This window comes from Homo sapiens, chromosome 10, assembly GCF_000001405.40.
Source record: "Homo sapiens chromosome 10, GRCh38.p14 Primary Assembly".
NCBI classification, from domain to species: Eukaryota; Metazoa; Chordata; class Mammalia; order Primates; family Hominidae; genus Homo; species Homo sapiens.
The window spans coordinates 48,048,458-48,067,283 of NC_000010.11; the positions used below are offsets into that span (position 1 = coordinate 48,048,458).

The 18,826-nt window shown below is 38.7% G+C and overlaps 1 pseudogene; it reads right to left on the reverse strand.

Annotated features, from left to right (window-relative positions):
• On the reverse strand, positions 1,824–11,559 carry BMS1P7 (BMS1 pseudogene 7; annotated as a pseudogene).

Genomic DNA, 18,826 nt, shown 5'->3' on the forward strand with positions numbered 1-18,826 from the left:
CACCGGAAGAGTTAATAAGGAAACTGAGGCATGGTTCCCTAACACCACACTTCAAAAGAACTTATAGAGAGAATAAAGGAATAACCCTTAAAAAAAAAAAATCTAATTTTAGAAAAAAATTGCTCAAAAGGGAAGTTAGGGTTTTATAGATCTTCTGGAAAGCTGATTAATTTCTAAGCTAAAAACGCATGATCCTTAAGAGAAATGGCTGAGTCCAGGCCCAAGGCAGGAAGAGGACAAAATGAGCCTGGATCCTCTGGTTCTGTCAGAAAGTAAGAAATGCTCAAAGACTAACAGAGACAGTTGAAGGGACACAGGAGACAGGCCGAAGGCTCCCGCAGCCGAATCTGGGACAGCATAGGCATCAGAAAGTACAATGACAGTGATGGAAAATAACCCATGGAATAAAACGCAAGTGCATTAGTCAGCCGTGATGCTGAAACAAAGGGGAGAAGAGAAAGCTCTTTGTTAAAAATGCCAGGTAACAAACTTAGAAGGAATGACAGAGGAATAACATCCATTTTGAGTCAACAGTGCCATAACTGATAGAGAAGATTATCAGGGGGCTAAAATCACTGGATGAAAGAAAACTATATGAAGCTTTTTAACGTAGCACAATAGATAAAAGTATGAAAACATAAATTAGAAAAAACTAAAAATCATACCATAAGGGATGGATAAGTTAGAATACAGGAATAACAGGCCAGGCATAGTGGCTCACATATGTAATCCCAGGATTTTGGGAGGCCAAGTCGGGAGGATTGCTTGAGCCCAGGAGTTCGAGACCAGCCTAGGCAACATAGTGAGAACTCGTCCCTAGAACAGAACAAAAAAAATTAGCCGGGAGTGGTGGTGCACTCCTGTAGTCCTAGCTACTTGCGGGGCTGAAGCAGGAGGATCACTTGAGCCTGGGAGTTCAAGGCTGCAGTGAGCCAAGATCACACCACTGCACTCCAGCCTGGGAGACAAAGTGAGACCTTATCTCAAAACAAAAACAAAAACAAAAACAAAAACAAAGAAGCCACAATAACAAAAAAACACTGGTAACAATAAAATCATGATTACATAAAGACTGTATAGAAAAAAAATCCTCAGAATATAGAAATAAAATTATGTATTTTACCTGTAGCTATATTAGAAGAGAGTATTCTTGTAGACAAGGATGACTAGAAGGATATGCAAAAATGAAAACAGCTAATAACACTCATTACGTCAGGCACTGTGGTAGGTAGTTTATGCACATTGTAACAAATTATATACTACATTATCTCAAGATTTTCAGATAAATTTTACTGGGAGTCATAAATCAATACAACAAAATCAATGTTTTGCAAACATCCACTAAGCATAAAGGTATACAAATTCCCAACCCAGACTGAAAAATAATTCACATAAGCCACACATTAGTGGAAACCTACCCATGGGAGATAATACAACATAATCTAAATAAAACTTTCAGAGACAAGGCATGTGGCTTCTGGACAGCCACAAACTCCCTGACTCTGCTCTAGTGTTTTGGCCATCAAAAGAAAGCCAAGTGGCCTCAGGTCTCTGAAAAACCAAAAAAGCAACCTATGGAAGATGGCGTGGTATTTGAGGAATATTTGAAGTCTGTTGAAAAATGCATCCTGTATTTTTTTTCAAGATAAGACTCCCTTGTAATGTCAGGTAAGTGAAGAGCCCTCAGAGACACATGCACACACAAAGAAAAACAAAACGACATAGAATGAATCCCACCAAAATGTGTTATGATGGCAGAATTATGGGTGATACGATCTTCTGTAATATATCTTTTTATTAAAAATAGAAAAAAAGCAGACTTACCCTTGATTATCTATAGCCTCTGACCCAAGTGGTTTGGAATTGGAAAGCAGCGTCACTCGACTTGAAGCCATCTTGGCATCAATGGTGGAGTAGGTGGAGATGAGACTCTGGACCAGCTCATGGGTGAGCCCCACCTTGTCCTATCAAGGCCACCAAGAAAGGGCACGTGAGGAAAGCACAAAGATCCTGGAGAGACACTGGTTTCACTCAGTTTCTCAAAATTATCTTAGACACATTTCCTGAGATCTTTTCTTAATGCCACAAACACCAGAGAAGAAAATCCTTATAACAAAGCTTGAAATGGATCCCCATCTCCATTAAACTTGTCCAAAGCTCAGTGAGTATATAACCTGATAACCTAAACACCTAGCTAGAAAAACCTCAGTTCCAGTGCTACAACAGTGCTAGCTTTTCTAACATTTTTAAATAACCCTGCTTTTAACCCAATAAAATTCAACTACAGAACTAAGAAATAAATATTGGAAATCCACTTTAAAATAATGAGGAGACCACTGTGATTGAGAAAAAGAAAAAGACAAACGAGAGCTGGAAAGCACACTGATTTTGTAGAAACAGAAATAAGCCGTGCAGGTGCCACACTGGCAGCAGTGCCCGCGCTGGGGCCACGGATCAAGGAGGCATGGAGGACAGGACTCTTCTGCTTGGTACAATGAAAAAATGGTATTCTTTTTATTCTACATATTGACAATATGCATTTGGGCCTTTATTATAAGTACAAGAGAAAAATCTTCAATAAATAAAAGCTGAGTACATTACTTTTTTTGATTAAAAAATAGATTAGGAAAGAATAATGAGAGTTCAGAGCAAAGACTCCTGCCTCACTGATGCCTGAAAACCGTGGCTGCCACCAAGGTCAACACAGACAGCGTCTTTGTCATACAGCACACCCTCAACTCCAGAAACAGGCACATAAACCAGCTGCTCCTTCTTATTTAAACAGCACTTCTTTTGTTATTCAGGAAGAACACAAGGGTCTGGGAGGAAACCGATGTCACTCATGGCAAAATGTTCTACCCCTGGAAGACGGGACCCAAAAAGCCAGCTTCAACTGACAAGAAGTCAGTAAGTATCTACTGTTGACTGGGGGGTTAAAAACGATCCACAGTCCAAGGGCTTAACCCATGACCCTAAAGAAGGGCATTGTGCCACACTGGAACAGTGGCCCTCTAGCTACAAGAGGTCAGAGAAGAGGGATTCGGTAACACCTTTGCAGGCCTACACATAGCTGGCTTACTTTTAAAACCTCCAGCAAGGCCATCTTCCCTTGTTTGGTCATTTTTCATTTTTCCTGAGAAATGAAGCCATCCCAAGAATCCTATGTGCAATTCTAGTATGTTCTACAACAAGAGAATACCTGGCATGTGAATTTGGCTTTTATCTTTGAAGTGTGCTCCTCTTAAATAACCATAAAGTGACACCTGCCGGTCACATTTGATGTTTGTTTGGATATCCTCCGGGTTTGTCAAATCTTCCATCCTAGAAAAATAAACTCAATCGTACAGCAGAAATGAATGCCAAAGTTCCTATACCTCCTTTCATGTGTCAATGACTCATCACACTCTTGTCCACTAAGCACATCACTTAGGAACTAGAAAATGCAGAAATAAGGAAGCACCGTTCACCATCCAGCAGAGGAAAAGGGGCAGGCACACAACTGTGTCTCTAGGCTGAAAGTGACATTCATTCCATAAGACACCAGATGGGAGACGACGTCCACCTGGGGTCAGGGAAGAGTGAAGAACATATGCAGAAAATCCGTTTCTGGAAGAGGGTGAGCCTGTGCTCTGGGATTTGTACTGTGGCTTGGATTCTGGCAGGTGGAAAAGGGGTATTCCAGGCTGAGAAAATCACAGCACAAAGAAGAGCACAAAGGAAGGAAACTGAAGGCACGCACGAAGGACTCCAGCACCTGGGCACGAAGGCAGCATCACTGAAAACCGAGGCTGAACGTAGGATGGGGCCACATCCTGTAGCCTTAAATGCTTTCAAGTCCTCCCATTTTCCTAAACATCTCATAATTAATTTACTCCCAAAGGCACAGCATCTTTGAGCAATGATATAAGTAGACATTTTCCATCAACTGCACTTCTACCCCCACTATTCAAATAGGCACAAAATAAATCCTATCACTGTTCTTTTTCTAGCCTTTTTAGCTTTGAAATACATGGCCCAGGAAGAAAAAGTTTACAATCACTTTTTACCTGTCTGCCAGGATATAAGGGTGAAAAGTTTGCCATGAGAGGCCTAAACTTCATAACTGTAATAAAATGGCCCAGATTGTGGATTTCTTGGTTTTGATATTCTCCATGCACCATTCCAGAAAGGTAGAACAGTTTGGCAACCTAAACATTAAAGGAAAATTAAAAATTAAATTTCAATTAAATTCTCGTCAATACTGCAACAAAATAAAAGCTCTAAACAAGAAGCAATCCTAAGAAGGGAGACTTCCAGCAAAGCCACTGTCCTGAGGCTTCCAGAGCCTTGCTGGATTCTTTCAGGACTTATTAGAACCACACAGAGGCAGACTGCTCTGCAACCAAGCCGGTGCATCTGTCTAAGTATGGTGAGGAGAGGGAGGTGAGGCCTCTGAGCACAGAAAGGGTTCTGTGGCCGATGGACCACAGCAGTATGGAAAGGAAGGGGCAGTGCCTGGTCCTGTAACTGGGAGAAACTTCTGATGTACTCTATTAAGTCCCGACTCCAAAACACCCAGACATTGCCTGGTGCAGCAGGTACGGAGACAAATGAGATACACCAAGAGGCCCAGAATAACCACTCTCTTGAGGGACACCTTCCAGAGACTGGGAACACATACACAAAGGGAATTCAGGAGGCAATTCCTAGAGAGATGTTTAGTAATGTCTCTTCAGTCTTTTTGTTTGTTTGTTTGTTTGTTTGTTTGTTTGAGATGGAGTCTCACTCTGTCACCCAGGCTGGAGTGCAGTGGTGCACTCTCAGCTCACTCCACCCTCTGCCTCCCAGCTTTGAGCAATTCTCACGTCTCAGCCTCCCTAGTAGCTGGGATTACAGGTGCATGCCACCACACCCGACTAATTTTTGCCTTTTGAGTAGAGACAGGGTTTGGCCATATTGCCCTGAGCTCGAAACTCCTGGCCTCAAGTGATCCACCTGACTCTGCCTCCCAAAGTGCTGGGATTACAGGCATGAGCCACTGTGCCTGGCCTCTTTAGTCTGGTTTTAAAGGATTATACTGTTAGTGTCTAACAATTATTTCTCTTCCTACCTGGTAAACTTCTGTCCAGAACCTGTGTTTTAATCGCTTCTTTGTCTTCTTCAGTTGCTTGTTATGCTTGAAGGAGTCGAGGTGGGTGAGAACTCCCAGAATTTTAGGAAAGCCATGTGCTTGACAGATGTTTAGAAACTCAAACATTTCCATTTCAAACCCAAAGCTGGCATCTATAAGCATCAGTACCTACAAGCACAACACATTATTTCTCGAAGAAACTACCAAAACAGACCACCTACACTAGGGGTTGGCAACTGGCCCACGGGCCAAATCCAGCCCATCACCTGTGTTTGTAACTAAAGTTTTATTGGAACATAGCCACATTAATTCCTTTACATATTGTCTATGGCCGCCTGTGCACTACAACTGCAGAGCTAAGTAGCTGCAGAAGATATGATCCACAAAGCTGAAAATATTCACTATCTGGCCCTCGACAGAAAAGTCCCACTCCAGACTAAATCAAATGACTACACAGGCATCACCCAGACAGAGAAACCACCACCCTCTGACTTGCTCTAAAAGGCAACCATAAGACAAGGCCACTAGGATATAAACATCCATTTTAAGAATTCTAATGCATGAGAAGTAACTCAGAAAAGGCTGGGTCTAACCTGGCCCTTACCTAAGAAATCCTAATTTAAAGAAATGAAGTTTTCTGTAATGTATTTTTAAGCCAAATAACAGGTCTCTGACATCCAAAGAATGGGAAGAAAGTGATAATCAATGAAATATATTAAATATGTACAGAAAACCAACCTCTTCTTTCAATCTCCTCACAGAAAAAAAAAAAAAATCTGTTTTTTTTGCTGGGAAGTATGCAATGGAAACCTCTATCTTGTATGTTAATTTGTGTAACTCAATTGCTCAGAAATATTTGAAATAGCTACCAGTTTAGAATTAAGTAAAAAAACAGAAAGATTATGATGAATGGTAGTCTATAAGAAAATATAAGCAGATAAGACCAATTTTTTTTTTCTTTTTTGAGACAGAGTCTCGCTCTGTTGCCCAGGCTGGAGTGCAGTGGCTAGATCTCGGCTCAGCGCAAGCTCCGCCCCCCGGATTCATGCCATTCTTCTGCCTCAGCCTCCTGAGTAGCTGGGACTACAGGCGCCCACCACCACGCCCGGCTATTTTTTTTGTATTTTTTTAGTAGAGACAGGGTTTCACAGTGTTCACCAGGATGGTCTCGATCTCCTGACCCCGTGATCTGCCTGCCTTGGCCTCCGAAGTGCTGGGATTACAGGCGTGAGCCACCGCACCTGGCCAAGACCAATTTTTAAAATTTAAGACACTTCAAAGATGCAAAATAATTTCAGAACTGATTCCTGGAAACTTGTAATTTTAATACTAAAGATAGTTCTGTTTTTATCTTTCCATGGATAACTAAAAATAACACAAAATGGAAACAGAAATGCCCATCCTTGATTAAACTAGGAAACATTCAAAACCCAAAACCACAGAATATATGAAGTTGGGCTTGTAGGAAAGCACAGCTGCCACTGCAGACCAAGGCAGCAAGCAGAGCTCTCCAGCAACACTGGACCAGCTCAAAGAACAGGTGGAATATCCTCACACCACATCTGATGCCAGAGTGCCAAGGGACAAGCAGCTGGTTGTAGGGTCAGGAATAAAAGGGAGCAAACAGTCCCTCAGCTGCCAATCTTTGCCATCTAAGCCAGTGTCACTCCCCTAATCCACACACGCACGTACACACCCAAATCCACGTACTGTGTGTGCCTCTGCTGTACTCAGGAGGCTTTGACAACCCAGAGCAGAGCAATCAACATAAGCTAGACTAAATAAATTATGGTGCATCCACAGAATGGAATGTTATATTAAAAAGAAGGAGGCAGAGCTACAGTACTTACTGATTATATACCTTCAAGTATATTACATGAAAAGAGCAAAGCATAGAACAGTGTATAAAATAAGCTACCGTTTGTGTTTTTAAAGGGTGGCATGTGTGTTTATATGTATCTGGAAGGATATACATATATATAAAGGTCTGCAGGGACCTGAGAGACCAGAGGTTACAGCAAGGAAAGAGAAAATGCGCATTGTGTGTACCGTGCATTACAGTTAGAGTGCTTTACCAAATGTGTGTGCTCCTTTTGAAAATCTTAAGATTTACATAGGCATCTCTCTCAATGATGGTTAAGAGGCTGGGAAGGGGAGCAGGGAGGGAGGGACAAAGAGGGAAAGGTTAACAGGTACAAAAACACAGTTAGATAGAATAAATTCTAGTGTCCAACAGCACAATAGGGTGACTATAATTTATTATATAATTCAGAATAACTAAAAGAATGAAATTAAAATGTTCCTAACACAAACAAATGATAAATGTTTGAAGTGACGGATCTCTGAATTACCCTGATTTGATCATCACACATTGTATGCTTCTATCAAAATACTACATGTACCCCATAAATATGTACAACTATTATGTATCCATAATAACTAAAAATAAAAAAATGTAAATGCATCTCTTAATATGTATGTGTTTAAAATTAGAAACTTGCTACATTTTAAATAAAAGAGAAACAAATGACTTCTATGAACTATTCAATCATTTCAAGTATACAAGTTTAGTAATCTTTACACAACTTTACATTAATTACACTTATTTTTACTAATAGTAGCATTACATGTTCAAAATTTGAATGTTATTTAGTTTTCTGACATTACAATGGCACAACTTTAAAATCTGTATTACTTTTTCCTTTATATTTTAGGAGTCTTCCTAGGCCAAAGTATAAAATCTGTAGCTCTAGCAAAAACTAAATAAAAATGAAAAAAACAAGGTATCTGTCACCCTACACCTCCTAATCAATATGGCTTATTTTTTTGCTAATTTTTTTTTTTTTTTTTGAGACAGAATTTCACTCTTGTTGCCCAGGCTAGAGTGCAATGGCACGATCTCGCCTCACCGCAACCTCCATCTCCTGGGTTGAAGCGATTCTCCTGCCTCAGCCTCCTAAGTAACTGGGATTACAGGCATGCACCACCTCACCCGTCTAATTTTGTATTTTTAGTAGAGACGGGGTTTTTGCATGTTGGTCAGGCTGGTCTCGAACTCCCGACCTCAGGTGATTCACCCACTTCGGTCTCCCAAAGTGCTGGGATTACAGGCATGAGCCACTGTGTCTGGCCTTTTTTTTTTTTTTTTTTTTTTTTGCTAATGTAAAAGATCATAGAATATCAGAGATAGTGAACATTATCATTTCCATAAATGTACATTTTCCACACGCTGAGTACTATCTAAATTTTCTATTGATAAACTCTGACCACTTCTTCAGGCAATTCATGTACTTACTTTAGCATTATCATTAAGGATGAAGGTTCTAGAACCATCAGGAACAAGGGTCCCATCTTCACACAAGTTACTTAACTGCTGGGAGGCTCTATTTCATCTTATGTAAACTATAGATAATACCTACTCACCTCAAGGGTGTATCAAGGGTTTATGTAAGCTAAATTTGGATCCAGGAAGGATCCAAGAAGAAATGGTACTTACTATGATATATTTGTACATATATATGTATGAATGTTAATGAGCTCTTATTAGCTGTGTTCATTAAAGGTTTTCTCCATCCTGTGATCTGCTTTTAGATTTTGGAACACATTTCATTGTGCACATTCCATTTGTATTATTAATATGACAACATTTATTACTATTATTATTATCATCATCAATTCAATCACATCTACTATATCCCTGATAATGACCATGATCCTTTTAATAATCACAAAACTCTCTTCCCTTCATCACGGGGTAAATAACCTATCACAATGCTGTAAGTCTCCATCAGCACCCCAGGCTGCCCCTGCTCACTTACCAGATCTGCTACTTCAGCCAGATCAATCATCATGTTAATGTCACACCCACATTCAATAATGGTGAGTCTGCGCTTTTTACCTATAAGTGAAAAGATGAAAATTTTACTTTAAAAAGACCCTGAAAAAACTCTAACCATCAACTCTTAATTTTCATTTTTTAACTGCATCCAGTAAAACACCACATACGTTTACAGGAGTGTACCAGAAGTTCATTTTTATAGGCAAAAACTGGTAAAATAAATTCCATCCTGTTTTTCTTCCTGTGTTCTAAATTTAGATAATATCAAAAGCCTACCCAGATGAATAAAAGTGCTGAAAACAGGGAAAATTCTGACTAGACAGGCTCCACGATAACCATGATCTTGCTGTTCAGCTGCAGGCCAATGTCTTCACCTCTATCAAAATTTCCTGTATTCCCACTATCGCTAAAAACATCCTCAAACATAATGCAACAGAATATTTACAATGATAATTATTTCTAAATTAAGGTAATAAGAAAATGATCAAGAAAATATTGGCTGGGCACAGTGGCTCATGCCTGTAGTCCTGGCACCTTGGGAGACCAGGGCAGGTGGATCCCTTGAGCCCAGGAGTTTTGAGACCAGCCTGGGCCACATGGGGAAATCCCATCTCTACAAAAACATAAAAATTTAAAAAAAGGAAAAAAAAGAAAAATTAGCCAGGCATGGTGGCATACACTACTCACAGGAGGCTAAGGTAGGAGGATTGCTTGAGCCTGGGAGGTTAAGGCTGCAGTGAGCTGTAATCACACCACTGCATTCCAGCCTGTGCCACAGAGCAAGACTCTGTCTCAAAAAAAGGAAAATAAAATATGGATGCGCCAAAGATAAAGAAAAGCCTCAATCCAACTATATTACTGCAATAATAAGAGATTTCAGAGTGTACATTGCCATTCTACCACTGGATGTTTGTTTCATCTTCCCTCAAACTTGGAAAGGTCACCATCTCCCAAAGCAGACAAATTCTCATAGGAAAAAGAGAAAACGCGCACTTCCACCAGCATGTGGCTTCATAAGGGCAAGCATGTGCACCTGGCACATAGGAGGTACGTGCTGTCTGTTAAATGGTGTGTTCGCAGTGACCAGGCCTGTCAGGCCCTTCCAAGGAACATGCTTGGCAAAGCCATAGAGCAGTCAGGATAAGGTATGTATCACATCCTTATCTCTGGGAACTTATCCTTTTATGAAGTTATAGCTAACTTAGTAAAAGTAAGAGAGAGGTAACATGATATGACAATATTTAACATGTTCCACTCAAGAAAACAACAAACACACGCATGTCCCTCAGATGACAACAGCCACGCCAAGTCTGTGTCTGTGGCACCATCTCCTACCTGACACGATCGTCACAGGGCCTCTGATCTCGGTGAACTTCTGCCAGGTGAAGTTCCGAATGAGGCATTATATCAAAGTGCTCTTTCCAACTTTGGAGGCCCCGTCACCACTACCGGTATTGGTGGCAGCTCTAGTGGAGTTCCATCAACCACTGGAATATGATGCTTTTGTGTCTTCAAATCCAGAGTCCTATTTATTTAAAAAAGAAAAAAAAAGTAAACTCACTTTTAAAATAGAGTAAAAGGTATCAACCTTATAAGTAGACTTTTTTTTAGTATAATTACAGATATGAGTACTTTAGTATATTTTATAGAGAGTACAACAGACAATATAAAAATATAAGTAACTTGTCAATTATTAACTTCTGACCCCTATCCAAATCAATTGCTGTTCAATAAAGATGTAACAAGATGACTTCAATAGTATAGAGTTGAAAATTAAACACTCCTTAAATCTGACTGTTTTATGAGTGATTTTTATAGTTTTTTAAAAAACAAAAGGTAAATACTGAGGCAGCGCATCATAACAGATAAGAGCAGAGGTTCTGGAGTTAAATTTGGCTCTCCGACTTACTGGTTGTATGATTGGAGGTAACTTGTTTTCTTGACCTCAGTTTTCTTGTCCATAAAATGAGGGCAAGAATGATTCCTACTCTGGTAAGGCTGCTGGAAGGATTTAGTTGAATAACGTTTAAAGTACACTGCTAAGAATATCATAAGGACTCACTAAATAAAGCTATGTTAGTATTACATATTGTAATTTTTGTATTTTATATTACAACTTTGTAAAACATATCCAGAGGGAAAAAGCACACTTATCACCATAGAAACAGTTTAAAGTTTAGGAAGAATCAAATTCTATAAATTCTTGTATCTTGGGCAAGAAACACCAACCAGTGTGCAGATGCTGGAGGCAAGGCAGCTTCTATGGCAAGTCTTCTCACGTTTTAGTAAAAGTCACACAGCATGCATCTCCACGTCCTTTGGAGCTGGACTAGACTTGTGAATCCAAATGTCACCTGTGAGAGGCTCCTAACTATTTAAAAAGATTCAATGGAAGAACCATCAGACTGTAGCTAAACACACCTGTGAAAGGATCGAGACATCCACACAGCAGACTGAACTGCAAAAGCATTGGCATTTCTCTTCTGGGCATTTTCTTCGTCTCCTAGCTGGAGATCCTGCAGATGCCACTTCTTTTTCTTTGCAGCTTTGGGTCCACTGTTTTTCTTTCTGTGTTTCTTCTGGTCCTTAGTCTCCATAGTGGCTATTTACCGCAGCTAGAGAGAAAGGTCAGCTTACTTACAAAGGAAATCCCATCAGGCTAGGAGTAGACCTCTCAGCAGAAACTTACAAGTGAGAAGAAACTGTGGACCTATTTTCAGCATTATTAAATAAAATAAACTCCAAACAATAATTTGATATTCTTCCAAAGAAAGCTTCATAAGCAAAGGAGAAATAAAATCCTTTTCAGACAATCAAAGCTAAGGAAATTCATGAGCACTAGACCAGTCTTACAAGAAGTCCTTAAGGAAGTGCTAAATGTGGAAATGAAAGAACAGTACCTGGCACCACAAAAACACAAGTACATGGCCCACAGACACCATAAAGGAGATACACAATCAAATCTACAAAGCAACCAGCCAACAATGTGATGACAGCATCAAAATCTCACATATTGATATAAACCTTGAAGGCAAATGGTCTAAATACCCAACTTAAAAGGCTTAGGATGGCAAAATGGATTAAAAAAATAAGGCCCAACCATATTCTGTCTTCAAGAGACCCATCTCACATGTAAGAACACCCACAGGCTCAAAGTAAAGGGATGGAGAAAGATCTATCATGCAAATGGAAAACAAAACGAAAGCAGGGGTCACTATTCTTATATCAGATAAAACAGACTTTAAACCAACAATGATCTAAAAGGACAAAGTAGGGCATTACACAGTGACAAAGGGAAAAATTCAAAAAGAAGAGTTAACTATCTTAAATATACACACAGCTAACATTGGAGCACCCGGATTCATAAAACAAGTTCTTCTGGACCTATGAAAAGACTTAGTCACACAATAATATTGGGAGCCTTCAACACCCAACTGGCAGGATTAGAGAGATCATCAAAGCGAAAAATTAATTAATAAAGAAATTCTGGTCTTAAATTCAACACTTGACCAATTGGACTCAATAAATATCTACAGACTAGTCCACTCCAAAACCATAGGATATACAGTCTTCTTATCTGCACATGGAATATACTCTAAGATCGACTATATGCTCAGCCATAAAGCAAATCTGAAAAAGATTAAAAACACTGAAATCATCTCAAGCATACTCTCAGACCACAGTACAATAAAAACAGAAATTACTACCAAGAAGATCTCCCAAAACTACACAATTACTTGGAAATTAAACAACTTGCTCCTAAATGACTTTTGGGTAAACAAATGAATTCAGAAATCAAAAAAATTCTTTGAAATTAATGAAAACAGAGACAAAACAAATCAAAATCTTTGGGATGCAGCTAAAGCAGTGCTAAGAGTATAGTTTATAGTGCTAAATGCCTACATCAAAGAAGTTAGGAAGATCTTAAATGAACAACCTGATGTCTCACCTAGAGAAACTAGAAAAAAAGAACGAATCAATCCCAAACTAGCAGAAGAAAACAAATAACCAAAATCAGAGCAGAACTGAATGAAATTAAGATGGAAAAATGCATACGAAAGATCAACAAACAATTTTTTTTTTTTGAGATGGAGTCTCGCTCTGTCTCCCAGGCTGGAGTGCAGTGACACAATCTCAGCTCACTGCAACCTCTGCCTCTTGGGTTCAAGCAATTCTCCTGTCTCAGCTTCCCAAGTAGCTGGGACTGCAGGTGCATGCCATCACACCTGGCTAATTTTTGTATTTTTAGTAGAGATGGGGTTTCGCCATATTGATCAGGCTGGTCTCGAACTCCTGACCTCAGGTGATCCACCCGCCTCGGCCTCCCAAAGTGCTGGGATCACAGGCATGAGCCACCGCGCCTGGTCTGTTTTTTGAAAGAATAAACAAAATTGATAGACTGCTAGCTAAACAACAAAAAAAGGAAAATCTAAGCCCAATCAGAAATGACAAAGATGACATTACAACTAATCCCACAGAAATATAAAAGATCTTCAGAGATTATTATAAATATCTATGCACACGAAAAATAGAAAATCTAGAGGAAATGAGTAAATTCCTGAAAACTCCCAAGATTCAACCAGGAAGAAATTCCTGTTCAAGAAAACCTGAACAGACCAATAATGAATTCCAAAAGTGAATCAGTAATAAAAATCCTACCAACCAAAAAAAGCCCTGGACCAGACGGATTCACAGCTAAAGTCTACCACATGTACAAAGAAGAACTGCTACCAATCCTACTGAAACCATTCCAAAAAATTCAAGGAGGAGGGACTCCTCTCTAACTCATTCTATGAAGCCATTATCAACTTGATACCAAAATCTGACAGAGACACAATGAAAAAAAAGTTCAAGCCAATATCCCCGATGAACATAGAGGCAAAAAAAAAAAAAAATCCTCAACAAAATACTAGCAAAACAAATGTAACAACACATCAAAAAGATAATGCACTATGACCAAGTGGGATTTATCCCCAGAATGCAAGTATAATTTGACATATGCAAATCAATAAATGTGATATATCAACAGAATGAATGACAAAAACCATATGAGAATCTTAATAGATGTGGAAGAAGCATTTGATAAAATTCAACATGCTTTCATGATAAAAAAAAAAACTCTAAACAAATGAGGCATAGAAGGAACATATCTAAACACAATAAAGACGATATATGACAAACACACAGCTAAGATCATACTGAATGGGGAAAAGCTCAAAGCCTTTCTTCTAAGAACTGGAAAACAGGTCAAGAATGCCCACTTTTACCACTCTTATTCAGTATAATGTTGGATGTCCTAGCCATTGCAATTAGTCAAGAGAAAGAAATAAGGGGCATCCAAATTGGAAAAAAAGGAAATTAAATTGTCCTTCTTTGCATGTAACATGACTATATATTCATATATTCATATATATATGTATATATATATATATCCCCCAAAACTAATGACTCTACCAAAACACTCTAAGAACTAATAAACTAATTCAGTACAGTTGCAGGATACAAAGTCGACATACAAAAATCAGTGATATTTCTAGACTCCAATAACAAACTAGCTGAAAGGAAATAAAGAAGGTGATCTTATTTACAATAGCTATTAAAAAAAAAAACACCTAGGATAAATTTAACCAAAAAAGTAAAAGACTTCTATGAGGAAAACTATAAAACACTGATGAAAGAAATGAAGAGGACAGAAACAAATGGAAATAATCCTATGCTAATGAATTGGAAAATGGAATACTATGCAGCCATAAAAAAAGAGTGACATCCTGTCATTCACAGCAATATGGACAAGTCTGGAGAACATTGCATTAAGCAAAACAAGGCAGGCACAGAAAGATAAATACTGCATGTTCTCATTTATATATGAGAGCTAAAAAATCAAACTCATGGAAGTCAAGAGTAGAACTGTGGGTATTAAAGATGATAAGGAAAGGTTGGCTAACAAATACAAAATTAAGCTAGATAGGAGGAATGAGCTCTGGTGTTCTGCATCACTGTAGGGCAAATATGGTTAATTATAATTTATTGTATATATTTAAAGAGCTAGGAGAGAAGATTTTTGATGTTCACAACACAAAGAAATGACAAATGTTTGAGGTGATGCATATGTTAACTACCTTGATCTGATCACTACACATTGTATACATATATCTAAATATCACTCTCTGTACCCCACAAATATGTACAATTATTACATGTCAACTAAAAATAAAAGGAAAAACAACATAGATGGAATCATTTTAACAGATAAAACTTGAGAATAAAAATAATCATAAAGGAAATATTGTAATCATCACATCTGATTCCTGTGTCTATCTCTTAGCTGGTTCCAAATTAAAAACAAAAGTAAAGGATTGTGAATTATTGACTCAAACTCAATTATATTACTATGTTTATTTTGCAAATGAGAAAACTAGATTTGAGAGAGGATGAGCAATTTACCCAAAGTCACCAAAATCTAAAGTATGTGGCAAAACAGGCAGTCAAACAGGGACCCCTCATTAACTCAGAAGTCTACATTTTTTCTCACATTCTTATGTGCTTGTCACTTATATTCATTAAAAACAGGCACATTCCATCAACATTCTCTAGTAAGAGTCTAAACACCCCGTGTAAGATACAGGGAAGGAAAAGGAAATGGAACTCACATTTTCTGTGTATCTATTATGTTCCAGACACTGTCCTAAGCCATTATTTACAATACATACTTTAATCCTCACAAACACCCCCAGGAACCTGCAGCAAGTTCGGTGAGAATCAGGTATCCAAAGCTCATGTGCTTTTGATTTACTAAGTTGCTTTTGAAGACCAAATATTAGTCTTCCAAATGATCAGGCTATTAAATGTAGTGTGTAAACACCAACAGCATCAGTGTATCTGCTTGATTCACACACTTACTGAACAGTTCTTTACGATGGCACAGAACACGACATCCACACATAGGAACACCCCTGTCCGGCCTATGCCGGCACTGCAGTGAACAACCATGGGTCCTGTAAGGTGGCTCTTCCTTGCATAACGAATATATTTTATGAAGCTATCTGCTGAGGCAGGAGTGCCATGGTCTGGCCACTTGGTGAACTGCAACTGTTTTACAGAGTGACTAGTTCCCGTCTGTTAGAGAAAGAAACAGAGCGAGAAAGACATTTATTGATTTCTTATATTAGAGACCTCACGCCAACTTCTAATATTCAAATGATAATAATAATGGCTATATGGTATTACCTTGGTATTATATAGAACTTTCAAAAAGTACTCAAACCTCTTTTTGATGTTTATAAGAATTCTGGAAGTTGCTAGGAATAGAGGTTTTCTCCATTTTACAAAGGAGAGCACAGTAACAACAATAAAAATACCAGTATTAACAGGTAACAAAAATTAAGCACTTGCTATGTGGCAGTTACTATGCTAGGGGCTTCACATGAATTCTCTCCTTTAATCTTCACATCAACCATGTGAGATAGGCACCATTTTATCTCCATTTTACAGATGAAAATTTAAGGATGAGGGGGACGAGAGATGTATGCTAGGTCAGAAGGTTCACACGTTTAGAGCTGGAACTGTAATGTAGGTGTCTTGAATTCTAATCTACCATCATTCTTCTGTACCATGAGGCTACAGGAAAACCAAGATTTCAAAATGCTTAGAGTGAGAGATGGACTGTCATGTTAGGAATAAGACCAAAAGGCAAAGTATCTTAGTTTAGAAATGACATATGAAATTTAATTAAGACATATAGGTGTCTGACAAGAGAGGCACCGATCTCTTCCAGCGATGAAGACAGGGTAGTCAATGACCATGAGAGTAGATTGTGGGTCCCACTATTGTGCTGAGCCCCCTTGAAGTGGAGTCATGAAACTCTTCCCAGCATTGTCAGATAAAGCACTTTGAATTTACCTATATCTCATCCAAAGGGATCATGACCCTTTCCTCAGTGTGGGGCCCTTATTTTATCACACATGGGACCCTAATGGAAGAACTCAAAATGAGTTTCTCACTTCTCCTATGCTTCTCCCGAATGCACCTCTTTTTCCTAAGCTTCCTGAATAAAGATGCTAGTGCTCAGAGCTCTATTCTAATCCACAGTGTCGACTGAAATTTGTGATAGTTAATTTTATCTGTCAACTTGGCTGAGCCCTGGTATCCAGATACTAGGCCAAATATTATTTTGTGCCTCTGTGAAGGTATTTTTTAGGTGAGATTAACATTTAAATTGGTAGAATTTGAGTAAAGCAGGTTATTCTCCATAAAGTGGGTTGGCTTCATCTAATCAGCTGAAGGCCTTAAGAGAACAAAAACTGACCTCCCATGAGCAAGAAGGAATTCTACCAGCAGATTGCTTTTGGACTCAAACTCCAATTCTTCCCTGGGTCTTCAGCCTACTTTCCCACCCTGCAGATTTGCCAACCCTCCACAATCACTTGAACCAACTCCTTAAAATTAATCTCTCTCTCTGGATCAGTCCCATAACCTGTATTCAGGGATCTCAATGTTATACTGCTAGAAAAATACACATAATCACATATTTTGTTGCTACTACAAATGTATGGGTCAAACCTCAGCATCACTCAGCAACCCTTTTCCTGGTGATTGTGCTCCAATCAACTTCTTTGGTGATGACTCCAAAACTCACCATTCTCTGCAAGTTTCCTGTTCAACTCCTATTCCCTTCACTCGTGTTAACACATGTATCACCTACCTGCCAACTGAATCCACTAGAGCAATCTAACTCATTGCTTTCTCCTATAAACCATTCCTTTTCTGTTTTCTAAGTCTATTAGACCAAGGAATCCATGAATTATTCTAGACCAATGCTTCTCAACAGAACTTCCTATACTGAAGCAAATGTCTTAAATAGTGGCAATATAGTAGCCACTATCAACATGCCACTCATAAGCCCTAAAATGTGGCTACTTGCAGGTGAGGAACTCAATTTGTTATTTTACATAAATTTAAATAACTTAAATTTAAACTTAAATATCCACATGTGGTTACTGTATTGAATATATTTTCAACCCCTCCTCTGTCACTTATAAATCATAAGTCATAAGTCACGTATGTCTCCCAATTTTATCTGCAAAACACTTGCGTCTGTGCTTTCCACCCCCATGCCAACAGCCGTAGTTGATCATGTCACTTACTAAAATTCTTCAATGTCTCCCAATTATCTTCATAATAAAGTTCATGCTACTTAGCTGAAATTTAAGACATTTCACATTCTAGCTGGCCCCTGCTTACTTTTGAGAACATCATCTCATCTTTTATTACTCCCTGGCACTGAACTTTTACATTTCAGAAACACTTAACTACTTATATTTGTCTCTACACACACCTTATGCTATTTTATATTTTGATCATCTACTTTCTCCCTCCATCTTTTTCATTTGCATAATTCTCAAAACAAATGCCACCTCCTCCAGTAAACCTGTCTCAAAACCCCAAGTAAAGCCAAGTGTTTACCTTCTGAGCCCCAAAGTGCCCAAGACATATCTCAACATTATCACTGAACACGGTAAGTTAGGTATCTATCAGTGAGTGTAACCAACCTCTCCACTATTCGGTAAGTACTGATAGTGCCTGGCCCAGTGATTAGCATACTTTAAGGACTCAATACGTATCTGCTACATTTGGCAGAGGCAGGTATAACCCAGAATCAGACAACTTCAACAGTCACTCTCCCTGCCCCACCTCTCTTTTCCAATTTTTTCTTCTCCACAGAATCTGGTTGAGGAGAAGTAGAAGTGGTGGTGGCTTCTGGTACCAGGGACAAGTAAAAAGTTACTTAAGAAGTATCATCGATCGATTTTCCATCCTACTCCTAACTTCTAGTTCTAAGACATCTGCTTATGTGGTGAAACATATATCTAATACTGATG